At 51.3% G+C, this 20,686-nt stretch overlaps 1 protein-coding gene across 21 annotated transcripts in view, besides 1 other annotated feature; it reads right to left on the bottom strand.

Annotated features, from left to right (window-relative positions):
- JARID2 (jumonji and AT-rich interaction domain containing 2) overlaps nucleotides 1-20,686 on the bottom strand; it is a 275,974-nt gene that overhangs the window by 14,725 nt on the left and 240,563 nt on the right. For 20 of the 21 annotated variants that reach the window (XM_011514579.4, XM_017010833.3, XM_047418735.1 and 17 more), the window contains 5 exons: nucleotides 19,776-20,011; nucleotides 10,148-11,186; nucleotides 5,909-6,411; nucleotides 2,726-2,818; nucleotides 64-182 (listed from right to left, as the gene is read on the bottom strand). In XM_011514579.4, coding sequence (XP_011512881.1) covers nucleotides 64-182; nucleotides 2,726-2,818; nucleotides 5,909-6,411; nucleotides 10,148-11,186; nucleotides 19,776-20,011 — 1,990 coding nt within the window. Of the gene's footprint in view, nucleotides 1-63; nucleotides 183-2,725; nucleotides 2,819-5,908; nucleotides 6,412-10,147; nucleotides 11,187-11,405; nucleotides 20,012-20,686 lie in introns of those variants that run through there. The other variant, XM_047418747.1, reaches the window with a different exon arrangement.
- Nucleotides 15,127-15,628: an enhancer, noted in NCBI's record as "NANOG-H3K4me1 hESC enhancer chr6:15491921-15492422 (GRCh37/hg19 assembly coordinates)". NCBI's record gives its function as "activates a minimal SCP1, AML or CMV promoter by ChIP-STARR-seq in naive H9 embryonic stem cells {active_cell/tissue: H9 hESC(naive)}" and the evidence as "EXISTENCE:reporter gene assay evidence [ECO:0000049][PMID:30033119]".

Raw genomic sequence — 20,686 nt, 5'->3', positions numbered from 1 at the left:
AAACTGGCGGGGAAAGGATGCAGTCACATCCCCAAGAACCTGGACGAGAGAATCCCAGGTTACCTCGAAAAGGGTTCTGATTTTCCTACTGGGAATCCACTGCCGTGAGTGTTGGTGTCCACCTTGCCGCAGTGCACTGCCACGTGGCAGTCCTTCTCTTCCACTAGCCTCCAGTACTCTTGCTGCAGGGAACAGGAAAGGGCTGGTCAGCACCCCTAAGGTGCTGCAGCCACAGAGCACAGTTCAACCCAACAAAACTGGGACACGAATGCCTGGTGCACACACCCCTCAGAACAGACGCTCTCTTTGCAGAGTGTCTCCAGCAGGACGCTAATGCAGAAAGCAATGACAGGTCACCTCCAGGCATATCCTCAGAATGCCAGAAAGCAGGGTCTCACCCATGTTATGCAGTGTTATTCCCAACAGCCAAAAGGTGAAGCCACCAAAGTATCCCATCCACAGATGGATGAACAAAATCTACTCCGTCCATACCATGGCCTATTACTCAACTTGTAAAAGGATGTCAGTTCTGACACATGCTACAACATAGATGAACCTGGAGGACATTATGCTAAGCACGGTAACCGCCAATTATATAAAGCTTCCGAAGTGACTTTTAATATGTCCCATCTAAACAAATATGGGGGCAAAGAATGGGTCAGAACATGCTTTGACTACAGGCAAGCAGCGGTGCCCAGGCTCCCTTGAGACAAGCCTCCCCACGCAGTCACCTTCCACTTTGTTCTCAGTGATCACTCCAGAAGCACTAAGTCCTCTTCCCTCGTCTCACAAGCCTTGGTAAAGCTGGAACCACATTTAGGGAAGAAGCCTAACTCATAAGCCCCCAGCATCATAGGGTCCAGTTAAGCTCCACAAAGCGCTACTAGCAACACCAAAACCACTTTCCTCAATGCTGTGTGACTTCCACAAAGAGGGGGCCGACCTGGCGGAGTCAAGCTCCACAAATCAAGAACGAATTCCACATTAAATGACTGGATTCCCTCAACAGACTCCCTGAGTGCCCAAGCCTGCTGCGTATTTGCTGAAACTGAGGGCAACCAGCGTCTGGTGCGCCTGTAAAGACATGGGAAGGGAAGCAAGGGACTGCTCCCAGGTGGTGGCCAACTCCAGGGGCTGTCCACCAGCCTTTTTTGGAATACAGAGCACAAGAAGCTAGGCAATCCAGGCCTGAAGTTTAAATTCTAGCAAATCTCCCCTTTGTGTTTAAATATTTACACAACTGCTAGAGCAAAATCCAGACTTTCAGAGGGAATTAATTCCTGAATAAGAGGCTGTAAAATGAGCTAAGTTTTCTTGCGCATCATGGATAATAAACTTCTGCACCTCTGGGGAGATGCCCACAGGACACGTGTTGTTTGGCAATAAAGGCCTCTTCCCAGGTCCAACGCTCAGCCCCAGAAAGCCAAGTGTCCTCCGCCTGACATCTCTACCACAAACGCAACGCGTGCTCTGGAAGCAGCTGCGGAAGCCACACGTGTCCTAGACCACGGTTCAGCTGACATCGTGGCTGGTGGTGGGTGAGGCAGTGGCGGCTGCAGCACGGTAATCATGACCACAGGCCGGGTGTCAGGCCACTGCGTGGCATTCAACAGCCGCACCCAGGGTACACAGTGTAGGCAGCCCCTGCACGTAAGCAGAGACCTAGGTCCTAAGACGATGAAAATGGCGTGAAAGGTAAACCTCTATTCCCCACACTAGGAAGGGAGGGGTGGGCCACAGGGCTGGACATCCTAAGCTCTGACAATTGCTATCAGGAGGTGGGGCACCAAACGCCACCCAGGGAGGGTGACCAGCTGTCCTGGTTTGAGCAGGTTTGAAGGTCACAGGTCTAAAACCTGGGCAAAACAAGATACCTGAACCCCCAGTGGTCAGCATGTATACACGGGGCAAACCGACCTTGGATTTTATTTGAAACAGGTGGCATTAAGGGGAAAAAAAAAAAAAAAAAACACAGCAAAAGCCTGTCACACACTAAAAGATGAGGCTGTGGTCAGCAAATACCTCCTGTTCCCCGGCCGGCAGCTGCCCTGAACCAGCAGTCCGGGTTTGGTTTCTTTCCCTTTCCACGACCAAGCGCTGCTGAGAGCCCACCGACGTCAGCAGCTGGAAGTTCACACGGACTCAGCTGGGCACTGGCCGAGGGGAGGTAAATAAACAGATCCGGTCTCTGTCCTGCAGCGCCGCACACAAAAACTCCCCCTAATTGGTCTGGGCACAGAAGTGCTCACTGTCTTTCCAACCTCATACTAACTCAAAGAAGAGAGTTGGCAGAAGCACAAAAATGGCAATCTGCCAATCCCATTAAATAAAAAATAGAAGAGAAGAAAAAGCACAACTGTGGTTTCAAGGGATTCCAAACATTCTCTTGCATAACAGACACACAGAGGATGGGGTGAGAAACAGCCGGGTGAGCAAGCAGGAGGAGACAGTGACGGGGAGCAGGGGACGTGCCCAGAACCCGTCCCCTGCACTCGGCAGCTCCCCACCTTCATTATAGTGTTTTTGGCTTGTGAACAAGTTTAGATCAACCTAAGTTAAAACATTTGGCTGCCCTGGTGCACGCTCAACACAGAGGACGAACTCAGCCCCATCTGAGTCCTTTCCGTTCACCGAGCTGCAGGGGTCAGGGCAGGACAGGATGTCCTCCAGCTCGCCGAGGGGTTCCCACACCATGAGAGGCAGCGTGAGGGGCCCCTTCTCTCACCTCGATTTCGGCTGGGGCAGGCTCCTTGCTGAAACACATGCTCATGATATTCCTCGCTGTTCGATAAAAAGTTGTTAGAGAAACAGACCTTCCCTGAAACAAAACAAAAAACAGTAAAGCTTCAGAAGCAAAGCTGAACCCTACTGCAAATGAGGCCAGACACCTGTCATGGGCCGCTGCCCCTTGGCGTCCCTGCGGCTGTGGGCCACCTTGTATTCTGAGTTAATGACAGGCAGAGAAGGAAGAAATATATTCTCTAAGAACCCGCAGTGCCAAGAGGAGTGGGAAGACTCCACCAAGGATCAACCCCATGAGGGCCAAATTGTTCTGCCAGGAACAGAGGCTGCCGCCCAGAGGCCCTGAGCGGACGCACAGCAGAAGCGCGGAAGGCCCCTCCAAGGCTCTGCTGAAAAAGCAGCTTGTGCTGGAGGCAGAATCCCTCAGCTGACAAAGGCTGCTGCGGGCCAGCGGAGAAGCTATCAGCAGCTATGACCTGATGGAACTCGTGACCAGGGATCCCACAGGAGAGAAGCTGGAGAGACAGAAACTGGTGCGACATCTACACCCTGAGAGTCCTTGCCATATTAACACCTGCCAGGGCAGCAGCCTTCACTGAGGTTGCGACCTGGTCGCCTTCTCTCCACAGAACCACCTGCTGTCCCCTCTGCGCCTCTTCTTCGATGCCCCTCTGTTGCCCTGTTCCCAATAACTTCCAGAATGATTTGCTTGCTTTGATAAAACAGCTGAGTCAGTTTGGGAATCCGGAGTCAGCACCTTCTTTTACCTACCACACGAAATGTGGTGCGTTTTTCAGAGGGAATCCATCTAAGACCCTTGCTATTTCTTTCTTACTTGACCGGGCACATTTGTTGCTTGAGTCCAGAAATATCTCCTGAGCACCTATGGTGTACTAGGTCAAATCCTAGGGGCTGGAGACAGAGCAGTGCATGAAACACACAAAACCTCGAGGAGCTTCCATTCAGTCTGGGGAAGACACAGGCCTCAAACACACAAATATGGGATGGGAGGAGGTGCCAGGTGTCATGTAGAGTGGGGGAGGGTGGTCAGGGAAGGCTTCCCTGCGGAGCACTGGACACCGCAGCGTCCCCCTAGAAGTGATAGGGCCACAACAGGGAGCAGCAGATGCTTTCTGCCATTGGGTCCACAGTCGTAGTCGGCATGGAGACATTGGCTTGTGCCTTTCTCTCCTGCAGCAAAGGAACTAGATGGGGTTCTAACTACAGGAACGTACTTCCATGCAAATTCCAAGCCGCTCCTGATAGTCTGTTTCTTGTAAATATAAAAAAGGAGGGACTGAATTCTGCACCAAGGCAGAGTGCAATGAGTGGAGGTGAGGATGACACCAGCAGACCAAAGTCAGCAGCCAGGACACCGGTGCCACAGAGAGTTGCGTGCTCACGGTCCCTACCCGTGGGCACACGGCTGCTGGGGGCTTCGCCATGGCCACCACGCAGAGCTCCACTATATTTCCGTGATGAAATCTAGAAATACCCTTGACGGGGTGGATTTAAACAAATCCAAACCTCTTATTTGAATCAAACATACGCTCACAGAATTGGCCTCCTTCAGTAAAAAGTAAAAACGTTGACAGTTTCTCATTTCACCAGTTGGCTATTCAGTCACAGGATTCACTGAGTGGCTTTACTTGACAAAGGCTTCTCAGTAAAACATTCAGGAAACACCAAATAAAGTTCCTCAGAGCTTACAGTCTCTGGGTCACACTTGGCAGGCTGCATCCAGCAACCCCCACACCGCATCCCCACCAGGCAGCCTTGGGCAATGGGAGAGCAGACTCAGATAAAAGGGAGCCAAACCCTCTCAGGGTCTCAGGCCAGAAAAACTGGGTACCTCTTTCCAGAGAAGTGTGCAAGGACATGAGATGCAGCCTGAGGCGGGTCTGCAGGGCCTGGACTTAAAGTGAAGCAGCAACGCCAGGAGTCAAGTCAACCCTTCCTCCGTATTTCTAAGATGTGTGATGGTATCAGAAGCCCGCATTGCCTCAACTACAAGGCCAGGCCAGAGCCTGCAGTCAGGCAGCCGTGGGCACCTGAGGGTATGGTGGTGTTTAGTGATAACCAACAGCCAATTCCCAATGCTGCCGAAACCCACTAGCCACACACTCCCACCAGGCTCACGAGGGCTGGAGCAGAGAACGCTTCCCTTCCAGTGAATCCAGAACTGGGACCACAGAGGACAAGTCTGTGCCGGGAAACTCAGCAGAGACTTCAACTTAGCTGAGCTCGGCCAGCTGGGCCCCGGGTGCCCCGCTACCCACTGGCAGGCTGGAGAAGGGAGGAAACCCCAAGCCTTGCTTCAGAGCCAGGACAGCTGGGAGAGCTGCCAAGAGGAGAGCCACGGACTCTGCCTCCCCTGCTTCTTGGAGGGGCGAGTCTCCTCAGGATGAGTGTGCTGCCGGGAGACCTGGCGGAGACAGGGAAACGCTGCATGTTTCAGTTTGCTGGTTTCTCCCCAGCTCTTCCCTCCACAGCGTGTGAATGGTGAGATTCATTTTGATGGCTTTATCAGGGATAGCTCTCCACAGAGAGGACCTGGCAACGCTGGGCTGGCAGTGAGGTGAGCGGATAGAAAACAGAGAAAACAAGCGCACAGAGTCCACTGACGGTCCAGCCAGTGAGAAGTTCAGCTGGATCTGGGCAGCTGTCGAGCACCAGGATGAAACGGAACTGGAGAAGCAGGGGAAACGAAGCATGCAGCCCAGTTACTTATCCCTGGCATATGGAGATGTGTGCACGTGCATGCAACACGCACACGCAAGCCAGTTAATGAAAAGGAAACCCGAGGCCCTAGGCAGGCGGAATGGACTCGTGGTATCTTCGTGGAGTGGACTTCCCCTCCCTCACTGGGTCTCCTGCTGCCCCATCAACGCACCCACAAGGCCCTCACTAGGTTCCTCGATATTGGACTTCCCAGGCTCCACAACCAGGAGCCAGTACATTTCTGTTTATTATGAATTCCCCAGTCTGTAGTATTTCAGCAACACGAGAGGACTAATACAGCGCTATCACCCAGCACAGTGGCCCGCCCCCTCATCACCCCAGGGAATCAGAGAACACACCGTCCAGTGCATAGCACGCTCCACTTCCTCTCTCATTCCTCCCGCACTCCTGCAGCTGGGAGTGGCTGCTCTGCGGAGGCCCCTACCTTATAGATGCACTTGTGGAAGTCATTGAGGACGCCTTTGTCCTCCTCCTCTTCCTTGACCACTTCTTTTTCCTGAGCGAAGAGTCGCCGCCGGCCAGTCTTCAACTGGGCCTGGCCCACCTCCTTGAGCTTGCTGCGGAAGCCGTTCCTGGGGGCCACGCCGTGGATGAGCCCATTCTTGGGCTCGAAGCGGGGCAGAGGGTGGAACTTGTGGTGGTCGTTCTCTGTGTGGCCTTCCAGCGGCCCCTTGCGCTTCTCCAGGATCTCCTTCTCCATCAGCACCTCCTTCTCCAGCCGCCGGTGCTCCTCTGGGGACAGGGAGTCGTAGGAGAGTAGGTACTGGCAGTAGGCCTCCTGCAGCTTGGCCAGCCGGTCCTGGGCAGTTCTGGGGATGCGCAGCATGTCTGCTAGTTTGTTCCATTTTTTGAGGTCAGTCACTTGCTGCATGCCGCCCATCTCATTAATCAGCCGGAAAAAGCAGGCCAGGTCGAGCTCACAGCCCCCTGGGACAGCGAAGGGGAAAAAAACGGGACAGTTAGTGAAAGAGACACGAACAAGATGTTCCTCATTCAACCTGTACTTCTTGAACTCCTACTATGAGCCAGGACTCTGACAGGCTCTGGGGTGAGAGTGGTGAACAGCAGACTCCCGGTCCACAGAGAGAAGGGCGTTACAAAATGATGGGTCATGACCACTTGCTACGAAGAGCAGGTGGAACGAGGGACTACCATTTTAGGTGGGGAGCGTCTGAGGAGGCAGCATTTAAGCTGGGGCTTGGCTGGAAAAGGATGCGAGCTGGCCAGACAGACATACAGGGAGGAACATCCCAGTGTACCATGTACTGGTACATGTGTTGTCACATGGAGGCGGGTGTCATGAGAAGACTAGCTCCCTGGTGAGGAGTGGGTAGGGGTCCTGGCTGCACCCACGGCCCAGCGTCACCTAGAATAGCTTTGACACATGCTTGTTACCAACTCCCAATTCCCCTTCTATAATTCCCAATGCCCACCCACTCACTCACTCAACTTCACCCATCCACCCACTCACTCACACAAAGGAAGTCTATTTTCCATCCTGCTGGATTTCCAGAGCAAAGAGCAACACCTGCGTGAGGACACAGGGCAGCACATCTATGCCTCGTCCCTCGCCCATCCAGACAGCGGGCTGCTTCTCAGTGCATAAGCTGGTGCTCAGTGCCCCTCCTGATCAGGCCACAGAGCAGCGCAAATGCACATCAAACCTGGGCAGGTTTTAACGCGCGCCCAGTGGCTTTTCTAGATGGGAATGGAGAAAGCAACCTCCCTCGGGCCAAATAAAGGAAGGGGGGTAGGGGAGATTTTCCAAAATAACCATCAACAAAATACTAAACAAAGTACAAATTAACAACGTTTTAAATCTTTAGAGTGTGGGGATATATTGTTTTTAAGTAATAAAAGGTAAAGTGTGCACGGATCCAGTCCAGGCAGGGTCGCTGCACATACCAAGCATGACAGGACCCACTAGGTGAAGCGTCTGAACCACCTCGGCAGACACAGCACACACAGAGAGCGAGTTCCCAGCACACCAGCAAGACCAGGGATGGGGACACAGCAGCCTGAATTCCACTCACACTAAATGGCAGGACAGTGGACTGATGTGGTTGTGGAGAACAGGGGAGTTGGGGTAACATCCATGAGGGAACTGTCCCCAGCCTCGACAGGAGGGACCTAAGAACTGAGACTCCACAACAAACTCCAGGTCTCACAGACTCCCAGAGTCACAGGTGGGACTCACGGTGGCTCTGGCTGACAATCGGGAGTTCTTCCTCCGAGGGCAGGTGGGTACTGTCTCAACTTACAGAGGTAGGCACCAAAACGAGTCCCCCAACCAAAACAAGTCCTCCACCGTCCGAGTGACTCAGAACACAGGTCACAGAAGGGAGGAAATCCACACTTTCATATTTCACTCTAAGTAGATTATAACGCAAGAGCACCTGAAAATCACACAGCGCTTGCAAGAATTCTTCATGGAATCCTCATCCGCTGCGATCACTCCCACTCAGGGCCTTGAGGCTGCTACGTGGCCGAGCCCCTTCCCCACCCAACTCCCGCCAGCGGCACGGCGGCTCCCTGGGACCTGCGGTGGAAGTGAACCTACACAGAGGCAGAAGGCACATCTGCTGGGGTGGATTTTAGGCTATTACTTCAAAGTTATTAAGTTTCTACCACTGTCAGATGGCTGAGCTCAGACCCCAGCCCTGAGGCCTTGCTGGGTCACAGACAGGTCAGTACCCCTGGGACAGAATGTCAGACGCCTTAGACTTCTGGGTGACGGCAACAAGCATAAGCACACCACAGGGAGGCACAGTATGGCTTTTGTCCCAGGGTAAGGGAGTCGAGGGTAAAGAAAAACCTACTCTAAACAAAAGGCGCTGTCACTACGATGTCAAGTGTGCTCTCGAGGCTCCATCATCCACCTAGCAGAGGAGGGAAACTTGGAATGTTTCCCTCCTGTCTGCAGGTCTCCAAAGGCAGGAGGACTTGGTGCGGTTCCATCACTGACTCAGTCATCCTGTGTCCCAAGTAGTCATGGGGCGTGGTCAGCGGGCGTGGGTGCACGCGTGTGCAGAGCCTGCTCCCTGCACTGCTTCCTATCACGTGCTATTCCCAACAGCAGAGCACAAACCAAGAACTCTTGCAAGTTAAGGTGACTGTCACTCAGGCATCAGTCCTGGCAGGCACCTGCTGAGGGGAACCACGAAACCTCCATCCTGCCTGGAAGCCTATCTTGCTGCCAAATCCCTGACACTTAAATGATGGCTACACGTCTCCATGCCTTTGAAAATTGAGGATCTCCAAAATGGAGGTGTGGCCTGTTTCCTCCCATGGGTCTAGACTGATGGGGTTGCAACCTTACCTGGATGCACCTCACTCCACAGAATCCACTTAGCCTTAACAAGGCAAGTTCATCCTCACCCTGTGTCCCCAGTGGCAGGACTGAAGAGAGGATGACAGGGAAGGAGGGCTACAGGGGAACCCAAGAGGAGGATCTGCCTGCAACCCACCCTGAGGAGCAAGGGTCTGCATGACAGCCCAGATATGCATTCACTAAGGATCCACTGTGACAAGTTTCCAACAGCCCCAGCCAGAGCTCAGAAAAAAGGTCTCAGAAAAAACCTGGTCTCAGAAAAAAGGTCAACAGATCCCTTGACCTGTGGCCTTGACAAAATCGCCAGAGAAACTGAAGCTCAGAGGAAGAAGAGACAAGGCTGAGCAGGATAAAAAATGGCCTACAGGACCCTAGAGGGCTATGGGCTGCATGGTGATCCCTCCAAATTCATATGTTGAAGCCCTGACCTCCAGTACCTCAGGACATGAATGAATTTGGAGACAGGGTCTTCAAAAGGGTAATTATGTTAGAAAGAGGTCAGTAGGATGGGCCCTAATCCAATGTCCTTCTAAGGAGAGGAGATGAAGACACAGACACACATAGAGGTAGGACCCTGTGAGGACACAGGGAGAAAACAGCCATGCACAAGCCAAGGAGGGAGGTCTTGTTGGTTTCGGGAGAAACCAACCCTGCTGGCCCCTAGACCTTGGGCTTCCAGCCTCTATAATCCAGTGTGGAATCCAGAGGGGCAGCGCTCCCCACTGGCCCCCCGGCCCCTGCTTTAACTCCAGCAGTTGTGGGTAGGAGGTGACAGCCCAGGGGAAGCAAGGGGCCCAGACCCAGAGTGGGGGCTCACCCCAGATCCAAGCTCAATACTTTTTTTTTTTTTTTGAGACGGAATCTCACTCTGTCACCCAGGCTGGAGTGCAGTGGTGTGATCTCGGCTCACTGCAAGCTCCGCCTCCTGGGTTCACGCCATTCTCCTGCCTCAGCCTCTCCAAGTAGCTGGGACTACAGGCCCCCGCCACCACGCCCGGCTAATTTTTTTGTATTTTTAGTAGAGACGGGGTTTCACCGTGATCTCGATCTCCTGACCTCATGATCTGCCCGCCTCAGCCTCCCAAAGTGCTGGGATTACAAGCGTGAGCCACCGCGCCCGGCAGCTCAATACCATTCTTATCCTGCCACCAACGCCCAGGACCTGGGAAGAAGGGCTGCAGGGGGAATGAGCTGAGAAGCCCACTACTCCCGAGACAGGGAAGCGGAACTGGAGCTTTCGCAAGGGAAGAGAACGTGAAGACTGTGAGGGAACTGCAGGGATCTGGGGGCAGGAGGGCAGGCACCACCCCCTGACCCCCCGCCCAGACCTACCTATGAGCGGGAGCTCGTCCATGGTGATGCCCTGAGATTTGAGGTGCTTCTTGATGCAGGCCAGCCGCTGCACGTTGGGGCCCCAGCGCCGGCCCAGCTTGTGGATGTGCTGAATCTGCGTGACAAACCGCATCTCATCGTTGAGCTTGCACTCGGGCCGCCAGTCCGGAGGGGGGATCACCCTGCACATCCCGAACTTCTCCACCTGAGCGCGGACCGACTCGATGTAGATGAGCGGATCGTGGAACTCCTTGGCGGAGGGCCTGAGGACGGGGATCTCGTCCATGGCCGCCCACCCGGCCTTGCCGCCGCCCTTCTCGGCCTTGCCCGAGTCCTGCGGCTTGTGCACGGACTCCGGTTGCGAGGTAGAACGATTTTCACAGGAGGCGCTGTCCGCCTTGCCATGTGCTTGTCTGCCTGGCGTGCTCTTCCCGGCCGTGGCCCGCTTCGGCCGATTCCTCTCCAGACTGCGCTCCGGCACTTCCTTCTTCACGTGTCCGTTCAGCAGACCTCTCTCGGCCGGGGCCTTCTTGCCAGGGCCTTCGGCGGGGCCAGCCGCCCCTTTCATCTTCTTGGGGGGCGACTGCGGCTTCTCCGCCTGGTGTGCCTCTTCCAGTCTCCTCTTGGAGTTCCGCAGCCCCTCCCGCAGCTGCAGGCCCTCCCGCAGCTGCCGCCCCCCCACCTCCTTAGTGCATGACTTTGGGTTCAACCTGCCACTGACCTTGAGGCCATTGACGGCGGGCCCAGTGGACTTGGACGCCCCCCCGAGGGATAGCACCTGTTTGCGGGTTTTTGCATTGCTACTTTCAGTTTTCCCTGAGATTGTGTGGTTGACAGCGGAACTGGGCTTGTGGTGATTGGGTTTGGTGTCCTTGACCAGTTCTCTCTTGGCTTTGGTGTATGTGACAGCCCCCTTCGTCACCGTGGCAGTGTACTTCACAGTTTTGGATGGTGAAGGTCTGACCTCGCGCATCTTTTTGGCACTGGTTACACCTGCACCCAGAGATGACATTCGAGTGACTCCGTTTACCTTAGAAACCTGTGGAGCAGCAGAAGCAGAGGTGGAAAAAAACGCAGAATTAGTACCTGCCACTAAAATGACCGGCCCACCCGTGAGAAAGGACCCTGGATGCTGGGGATGAACAGAGCCAGCAGCCTGTAGTGTGATAAGAAGAGATGTGGAAATACCAGCAAAGAGAAGCAAAATACACATCCAAGAATTAAGCAGCGATGTCCACTTTCAGAATCCACTATATACCTATCCTTCGTCACAGAAGTATGCAAACTGCCCCAGGCGCTTCCTAGCGGGGTTTCCTGGGTGCATTTTCACGTTCCCATTGCTCTTCCAGGAAATTTGGTGTTTCACAATGAAGACCTCCCCACGTGCCATGCAATCACCTGTCCTGAGCTTCTCAGAGTTGATGACAGCAAGATCCTGCTTCCTTGGGGGAAGTGGAGACAGACACACACACATATCCCTGTTCCAAGAAAAGTCATGTCTGCTATTTCTGTGCTCCACATAGCAGCATGACCTGCCCACAGGATTTAGAAATCTATGGCTAAAAAAAGAAGGAAAACAAAAATACTATGGAAGCAAAAGAACAGCAGTGCTCATGTGGTTTGGCTCCGGGTGGCAGGCCAGGCCCAGAGGTGTGGCTGCAAACTGTCAGCAGCTGCTGTCTGCTTTCCTTGTGGAGACGAGCCCTGGACAGGGCCAGGCTGGATGGAAGAGGGATGCCCCGACCTCACTGTTGAAGCAACACATGCCAACCCTCGTCTGCACACGCGCTTCCTATATTTTCCCACCGTTTACAAACTGTCCCATGTATCTTCCACCCTGGACAAACTTTCCCATCAGGTTCTATGGGACCTGGGCAAACAGAGACAGTCTTACAGCTTGGACGCCGTGGTAATCTTGGGACACACAAACGTCAGCGAAAATGGGGAGCGACAATGGCAGACACTAGAAATGCACAAGCTTCAAACAAGAATAATGAAGGGACCCCAATGGGCTGCTGCCAGACATGCTGGTTTCGAGAAGATGTCTTCTCTGCGTCACAATGTGGCCACTGCCCCATCACTTAACACCTTGGGCATTACTTTTCGTCTATGATATGAGGTTAAAGTCAGGGACTTCAGGGTTTTATAACCACCACCATCTCCAAAGGAAGAAGCCTAAAAATCACAAAATTACTGAGAAACACAGAATACTAGCCCCCTCTTCTCCCCAACAGCCCGAGAGGAAGGTGCCAGGGTCGGGGGAGCCTGCACTTCCTGGTCAGGAGAGCTGGCCACATGCAGTGATGGCCCAGAGGGTACTGAAACACCAGTGCCACCACAAGGCTGTGCAGGCTGCTGTCACATGGGGACGAAGGTCCCCAGATGGCGGGTAATGAGTCTTAGTGACCTTTGTACTAAACCTAGGCCTGGCCCAGGACCCCCCTTAAGTGGGGGTGGGGCATGGAATGAAACTTCCCAAAGGCGCCTGTAATCCCAGCACTTTGGGAGGCCGAGGCGGGTGGATCACAAGGTCAGGAGATTGACACCATACTGGCTAACACGGTGAAACCCCGTCTCTACTAAAAATACAAAAAATTAGCTGGGTGTGGCGGTGTGCGCCTGTAGTCCCAGCTACTTGGGAGGCTGAGGCAGAAGAACGGCGTGAACCCAGGAGGTGGAGTTTGCAGTGAACCGAGATCATGCCACTGCACTCCAGCCTGGGCGAGACTCTTGTCTCAAAAAAAAAAAAAAAAAAAAGACTTGCCAAAAACATCCAAACCAGTGGCTCTCAGCATCCCCTAGAGGGCTGATGTAAACACATCACTGGGCCCTACCGGCAGAGTGTCCAAGTCAGAGGGTCTGGGATGGGACTGAGAATGTGCATTTCTAACCAAGTCCCAGGTGATGCTGTGTGCTGACCTGGGGACCGCGCTTGGAACCACTGAATGAAGTATCAGTGAAGTTTATAAAAATCAAAAAGGAAAGAAGCCACTGAGACCTGTATTTCTCTATATGCCACCAATTAAGTGCAGTCCAATCAAAGCCACAAATTCTTGGTAGGACATCATCTCTTAGGAGCCAGGCCCATGGAGGCCTCATTCCTAGAGCCAGATCTCAGGCCCCATGAAGAGGCAGAAGCGAAGACCCAGGAATCACACTCTGGCTCTTAAACCATGAGTCACCCATAAAAAAAGTGGGACTGACAGACGGTCTGGAATAAATAATGCGAAACCCTTTTGGAGAGGAAAAAAAGCACCTGGCAATGATAAATTTAAAACAGATTTATAAAACCAGGGGTAAGGACAAACAGAAATATTCCGTGGTAAGTACTGTTAATCTGCAAGAGGAGGTATAGTGAGGAATGCAAATCTCTTAGTTTTAATTGTTCTTTCAAATGCTTCCACTAAAACCAAAACAAGACAAAACATTTAGAAAAACAAAAGCAAACAGTAAACTCCAGCTGGGGCTGATCTTTATTTCCAGCAACAAAGGCTGGTGGGGCTGGGTGGGGGTGGGGGAATGGGCCTCAGGGAATCCAGGACCTTGGGGAAGGGCTCTATCTCAGGTTCAGACAGCAAAAGACAACACCTCTACAGTTGGCTCAATCTCCTTTTAACCTGTAGGGGTGCAATCTGTTTCAGCCCTACTCCCAGCACAAGAGTCTCCTTAAGGAGACGGACACAGTGCGGCTTCGTATATCGCTAATCAAAATGGCAAACTCCAGATGGTGCCGGACATAACCCAACTCCTGTGAGGTTCAGGCATCAGCCACCACTACTTGCTGAGGTTTAGTTCAGTGTTTTCCAAACCTGGCACCCCTAAAACCCTTAGGGGAGCTTCAAAATAATGTAAATCCCTTCCCTCTAGATTCTGTGCTAATTGGTGAGGATCAAGAAAGGGAATCAGTGTTTAAAAGCCTCAGATGTCTCAGTGTTCCCACAAATCCGTGGACCCTACCCTTCCCTAACACCGCTGTCCAAATACCAGAGTGCTATGTCTCTCATATTCTATCTCAAATAAGAGTGTAAGGCCTTTGGTTCCATCCATTCTGGCTTCTCGGGGGCACCTGAGTTCATGGCTAGCAATGCTACAGGGAAGTAAATTTTCAACACAGCTGAATTCTATATATCACTATCTTCAATGGCAAAAGGAACACCTTGTTTACATCTTTCTGAAAACCTAAATACTGAATTATTGGCAAGGTATACATTCAAATAACTTGCTTTATGAGAGAAATGAGTTGCAATATTTTCCTTCTTATTATAGGAGTTATCTTCAACAGTATCCACCCAGATATCACACACGCATGCCCATATAACAAGCTCAAAGACTAGATGGATCTCACCCACAACACAGACCAGCGAAGTTCAAACAATTACGAAGACTGAAAAAGGCAAGTGTCACTGGCCATCTTCCTCCTCGAAACCCAGAGGGTCCGTGTTCTATGCCCACCACGAGAGGCCACAGGGGAGCTGAAAAGCTAACATAGGAAGCCCCTTAAGCTGCTCCATGTGTCCTAAAAGGGAGAAATAAAACAGAACCAACAACCCAGCCAGCACCACCATTGTGGGGAAACCTGGGACCCACCAATCTAACAAAAGGACACCCCTTTTCCTGGCCTGGACTTGTCTATAAGGAGCCAACACTTAATCAGTACAAAAGGAAACAGAAGAATGGAGGAAGGCATTGTCTTACCTTGTTACCGAAGGTCTCCCTCAACCCACCTCTGTATCAATTAAAACCACACAGCCCCAGTTATGCAGCCAGTGCACTACAAGGAAGGCCACCGCTGCACGTCCTGAGGGATTCCACAGAAGAGCACACACAGGAAGTCATCTGAACTCACTGAAGAATTAGCGCCGACGTGGGCTACAGCAGGACCCTCCATTGAATGACAATACATTTCAGCTGAGCAGCTTTATACATAAGTGCTTGAAGTTACTCCTTCTCTCAGCTCTGTTGTGGATTTCTGGCTTCTCAGCCCATTGCCCCCAGCCCCCAACCCAGCTCTGCAGAAAGTGAGGTGTCTGCAGCGTGTGCTCCTTGGCCCACAGCCATCCGTCACCTGTATCTCAGGTGATCCCAGGCACACGGCCATGAGATATTAAAGCAATCCCTCCTAGTCATAAGAGAATGGTTTCAATTTAACAGGCAAGGTTGAGAGCATTTTCAAGTTACGTTCGGCCAGATGAGTACTGGCAACAATACCTCATTCTTCTTGCAGAAGGGATATAAGGTGAGAGATATGAAAGTCCAGGACATCAAACGTTCCTACCTGACTTTGTTCTTAATAACAGAAATTCCATCTTAAAAACTGTACCCAATCCACACTCTGTGTGCTTGCTTTAAGAATATAAAATCTCTCCCCTCCATCCTTATGGGTTTTTCTCCACCCCACCACCGACACACACAATATTTAAATCAACTCAGTATGATGACAGATGAAAAGGAGAAACATGCACTTCCAAGGCAGAGCAGAAGATGAGAAATGACTCTGATGTTTTTGGTTAACTAAGCAAAAATGTTTTAGTCGTTCAAGATTATGACGCTGTCCTCAGTTCAACCTCAGATTCACTGGCAAGTTCTTCTTCTCCACGAGAGGGAGCCGTTGAGCCGAGGCCTCTGCCAGCCTTTCAAAACAGAACCAGAGGCCCAGAGAGAGAAACAGTTGGTGGCTGGGGGTAGTCCATTTGCACTTTAAAACTTGAATCAAAAACAAAGAGCCTAAACAGAAGCGAAATGCACTGGACAGACAGTGAGTTATGGAAGGGGAGGAGCAGCCTGCTCAAACACTGACCGCAGCAGCAGATGGGCAGGAGCCTCCTAGCCAAGGCCAAGGCCAAGGCAAATGTGCTCTAAAAGAGATGCCTGGGTTCCACTGGGCAATCTAGATGTACCTATAACCTCTCCTCCCACTGAAGGCAATGTAACTGAGTCACAAATACCCCACCACCAGCAAGTGCAATTCAAATGACAAAATAATGTCATGAGAAGAAAACCTTTAACTTTTTTAAAAACTAATATGATTTTCTATGTTTCCTTCTCAATAGCCGTATTTTCCAGAACTTTAAAAGAATATTCTCAATTCCTTGGCCCTCTCTGAATCTTACTAGGGCAGGATTTTTCTGCAAGGCTTGTACATTTTCATATGAAAACCTCTTCAGTGACAGTAGCCTATAGCTCAATGGAAGGTCCTGCAAAACCAGTGGGATTAGCCAGTTGATCATTTTCTTCTCACACTCAGCCTCAGCGTAAGAAATGAGAATCACATGTGGCCACATCTGGTTCAATATCCTGGCTTACAAACCACACAAATTTCTACACAAGTACAAAACCTGCTCATGACTCTCTTGGAAAACTAATACTTCAAAACCCTTGCTAGAAATAAAGCTCGTCTGTTGGACTATCCTAAACTTGTTACTTTCTGTCACTGCATGTAAGCAGAAGTACTACTGCAGGAAAGCAACAGAAAAACACCATTTGCTCCTTGGTGAGACCCTTACCATACAACCAAATTATTACCCAGGGGCACTCCCAGCCCCATGACAATGCAATGTTATACAGGCATGTGCATTCCATGACAAAGACAGCTCATTTGGTATAATCGAGAGTAAACGGCCGGGGCCAGAGCCCTCTCACCAAGAAAAAGGCTTAGGTGAAGTACGCACTGGTGTGTTCTAACTCTCGGGTTCTAGGGACTCCATAAATCGCACACACTATCAAATGGCATTGCCCAGTTCGCACGAGGGGAAGTGGTTTTAGACTTGGAAGACAGGTGCATGCACCCACACAGTTCATTATAGCAAGCAGAGCAAAGGCACTTCTCGGCAGCACCCCCTAAAAATTACATTCCTCCACATTTCAATACAGTCACATTTATGCTTTTAAGCTGAACAATAACAAAAAAAAATCCACATATCATATTTGAAATGAAAGATCAGAGTATCCTCTGGGCCCATATCTTTCATGCAGTTGAAAAGATGAAAGGTCACAGTCTAATCACTTGTATCAAGCAGTCACAAGGGAATCTACAATTTGCTTTTACTGACCTTATTTTCAGAGTACTTAACTAATAGGATCTGAGGGTTTGAAAATTTTCCTTTTATTTCTCACAATGTCCCTGGTATAAGGAGTTGGCCAGACTGGCTCCAAAGGAATAATAGGGCCCAGGAAGGTTAAATATCACATCTCAAGTCTCATTGAAGGTCAGAGTCAGAGCCAAATTAGAATCTGGAGCCATGGGTCAACCCATCTGGGCTGGTTAGACTGGAACAGGGAAGGAGGAGGAGAGGGAAGAGGGAGAAAGTGGGGAAAGGGTGACAGGAGAGGATCCCCGTCAACACCTGCAGGATGCCCTGCATGAGCACATGGCGCTCCCTGCAAGGACTCTACCCTGAGCCCCGGAAGCAGCTGAAACTCCTGCACTAACTCAGAGGACAGAGGCCGGCTGTGTGAGGGGCACCCCAGGACCTCTTTCCTGCACCTAAGATCCTGCACAGGGAACAGGTCACACGAACACGCCATGGAGCATGGGGGCAGGCAGGGCCATCCCAGGCTAAGGCAGTACTTTCTGTTCCTCCTCAGCTCTTTCCTCTGTCCAACTGTACTAATTCCTCTCATCCCCTTACAAATGAAAACCTTGAACTGAATGAAGGCCAAGTGCTGAGAGTGAGCTCTGACCAGCTGAGATGACAGGCGTATCCCACGCATCCCTATTCGTGACCGTGCAAGAGGATGTGCGCACCCGTGTCTGTCCGTGCATGAGAACATGAACAGTCACATGTACATGACTCAGGTCCTCTGCCACCCTTCATTCCTGCCTCGCCATCCCAAGGATGGGTTCTCAGGGCAGAAAGGCAAGATCTGGAAGCTCACCTGGATATGGCCTCCAGTTCTGATGTGGCCCATGAGAATTTTACCACAAGTAAACTAAAAAAACTCAAAAAAGCATAGTGGGATGAATAGAAGATAAACAAAAACAACTTAACCCTACTCTAGGATTCTGGGAAAGGAGACAGGATGCAGTCACATGGTGTAATCACTGTCTTTCTGTCTTTCTCCCTGGGTTGCTTCTAATTCTGTTCTCTTTCATGAGCAAAAACCTTACACATTGGAGAGTTCTGTACAATTCTCCATCAGACCAACAGCATTGGGAACAGCGGGGGAGTGAAGAATCACAGACCCAGGACCAAAGCTCGGTGCCTCCCTGGGCTTTGTGCCTCCAGTGCTGACAATCCGGGGCCCAATGGTTAAGAGACGCCAGGTGAGCACATGGTGTGGCCCAATTCCACACCGTGGCTGTTGTCTCTGGGAAAACTGAGGTCTGTTTTGGCCAACAGTGGCCAGTGTTTAATATGTGCTAGGTGTGTGTGGACTGTGGAAATGTAAATGTGGTGATTCTTGCCATGCCCACCCCCCCAACTGCATACTATTTGCTAGGTAAAGGTTCACATGTGCATGCATACATACCTGTCTGCCTATGTGTGACTATAGTCACATGTTCACGTTCAGAGAGAAATATCCACAACGTCACCAAGAATGAGAAAGGCCACCTCTACCGCAAGACGAAATCGAGTATTTTCACACCACAATAACCATGTAAGTCACTCTGCAACACTGCCAGCCAGGAAATCTCTTCCGTCCCCTCTACAACTTCCTCTGAAGCTACCTTTAAGGATCATAGCCTCCAGTCTCTTCTAGGGAAGATTTTAACCCTCTATTTTTAACTCTGTGAGGAAAGCTCATCAATGATCCCATGACTTAGCGGATGTTAAAATGGAGGGGGGAACAGGAGCACGAGGCATCAGTGAAATGCCACCTGTCCGGGGACAAGCCCTCAGCTGTGTGCCTGCAGGAACCTGCCCTTATCCCCACTACTCATCCCTAGGGTTGTGAGAAATCAATGTCCAGGAATGGGAACATCTGGACAGCAATAATGGCCAAGCCCTGAGGGATTCTTCAAAACTGCCTCACCAGAACCGGCATTATCTGTGGCCCTGTTGGGGGATAGCGGGTGGGGGGACAGCGCAGGACAGGCAGGGGCAGGAGGTGGTCAGGGTGGCAGCCACCTACACTCTGTGGATGCTACAGCCTGGGACTCAAATGCCTTCAGTGGAAGAGGTGCCACCCAGCCACACCCAGTTCCACAGACTGCTCGGCAGTGCACACAGCATGCACATATTCTGCTTCAAAGGCCAGGTGGTGAAATGTTAACTTGTCACATCAAAAAGAACAGAAAAGTAGACCAGGATCATCCATTAACAGAACTATCCCATTTGCAGGTGTGTTTCAAAACCTACCCTGAGAAAAACATGTTCCCTGCCACTCTACCGCTCATCTGGAGCCCAGGGTGGGTGGGTGGGAGAAGGCTTAAGTAAAAAAGTGAGTTCACTTTCTTGGTGAATGCAGTGGCACCCAGGGATGAATGCAAATCCAACTGATGGATCTTCGCAGGACAAAAGGTGCAGGCGCCTGCAGCTCATGCAAAGGTGCGCTCTGTCTGTCCCTGTCTTGCTTCTGGGCATCACCTCCTGCTTCTTGAGCCCTCTGAAGATGAATTTTTAGCTTGGTGAAGTGAAGTGGGAAACTGGGGTCTGGCACACATGTAGGCACCCCTGCTGGACTTTACCTGTTTCCGTAAGTCCTGAGCCGACCGATGCAGAGGGGGGTGGTGATGGGTGGCAGCAAGCCCCTTGGCCGAGGAACCCGTGGAGGGGGCCGCTGCGGGGTGGTTAGCTGAAGCCTGCTCCCGGCGGCTGTCAGCCCGGTGATCGCTGTGCTTCTCCTTTGCGGGAGTGGCCTCTTTGCTTTTGTGTTTTTGAACAGGTTCCTTCTCCCGTGTTGACCTGCTGGAACCATTGAAAACTAGAAAGGAAGGAGAAAACAAGAATGAAATCACTACCTTGACCACTACCACGCAAACTACTGATATGGTTTGGCTCTGTGTCCCCACCCAAATCTCATGTCCAACTGTAATCCCCATGTGTTAGCGAGGGAACTGGTGGGAGGTGACTGGATCATGGAGGCAGTTTCCCCTATGCTGTTCTCGTGATAACAAGTGCGTTCTCATGAGATCTGATGGTTTAAAAGTGTTTCCCACCTCACGCTCTACCTTTCCTGCTGCCATATAAGAAGTGCTTTGCTTCCCCTTCGACTTCCACAATGATTGTAAGTTTCCTGAGGCCTCCCCAGCCATGCGGACCTGTGAGTCCACTTAACCTCTTTTCTTTATAAATTACCCAGTCTCAGGTAGTATCTTTATAGCAGTGTGAGAATGGACTAATACACCTCTACTCCCTGAAGTCAGAAAGAATCAACCATCAAATGTCAGAGCGAGACTCTGTCTCAAAAAAAAAAAAAAAAAAGTCTATTCTCAGATTTAAAAGAGATGCATTTTGAGGCCAGAGAGCTACTGACATGCATGAGTTCGGGGCGCAGCTGCTTTATCTGACCTATCAGTGACAACAGAGATGAAGAAAGGGATGATGGAACTTTGAGCCAGACCCATTTTCTGTTCCTAAATTCAAAAACAGCAATAGC

This window comes from Homo sapiens, chromosome 6, assembly GCF_000001405.40.
Source record: "Homo sapiens chromosome 6, GRCh38.p14 Primary Assembly".
NCBI classification, from domain to species: Eukaryota; Metazoa; Chordata; class Mammalia; order Primates; family Hominidae; genus Homo; species Homo sapiens.
Note: the sequence above shows the minus strand (reverse complement) of the source record. Positions and strands in the feature narration are given on the sequence as shown.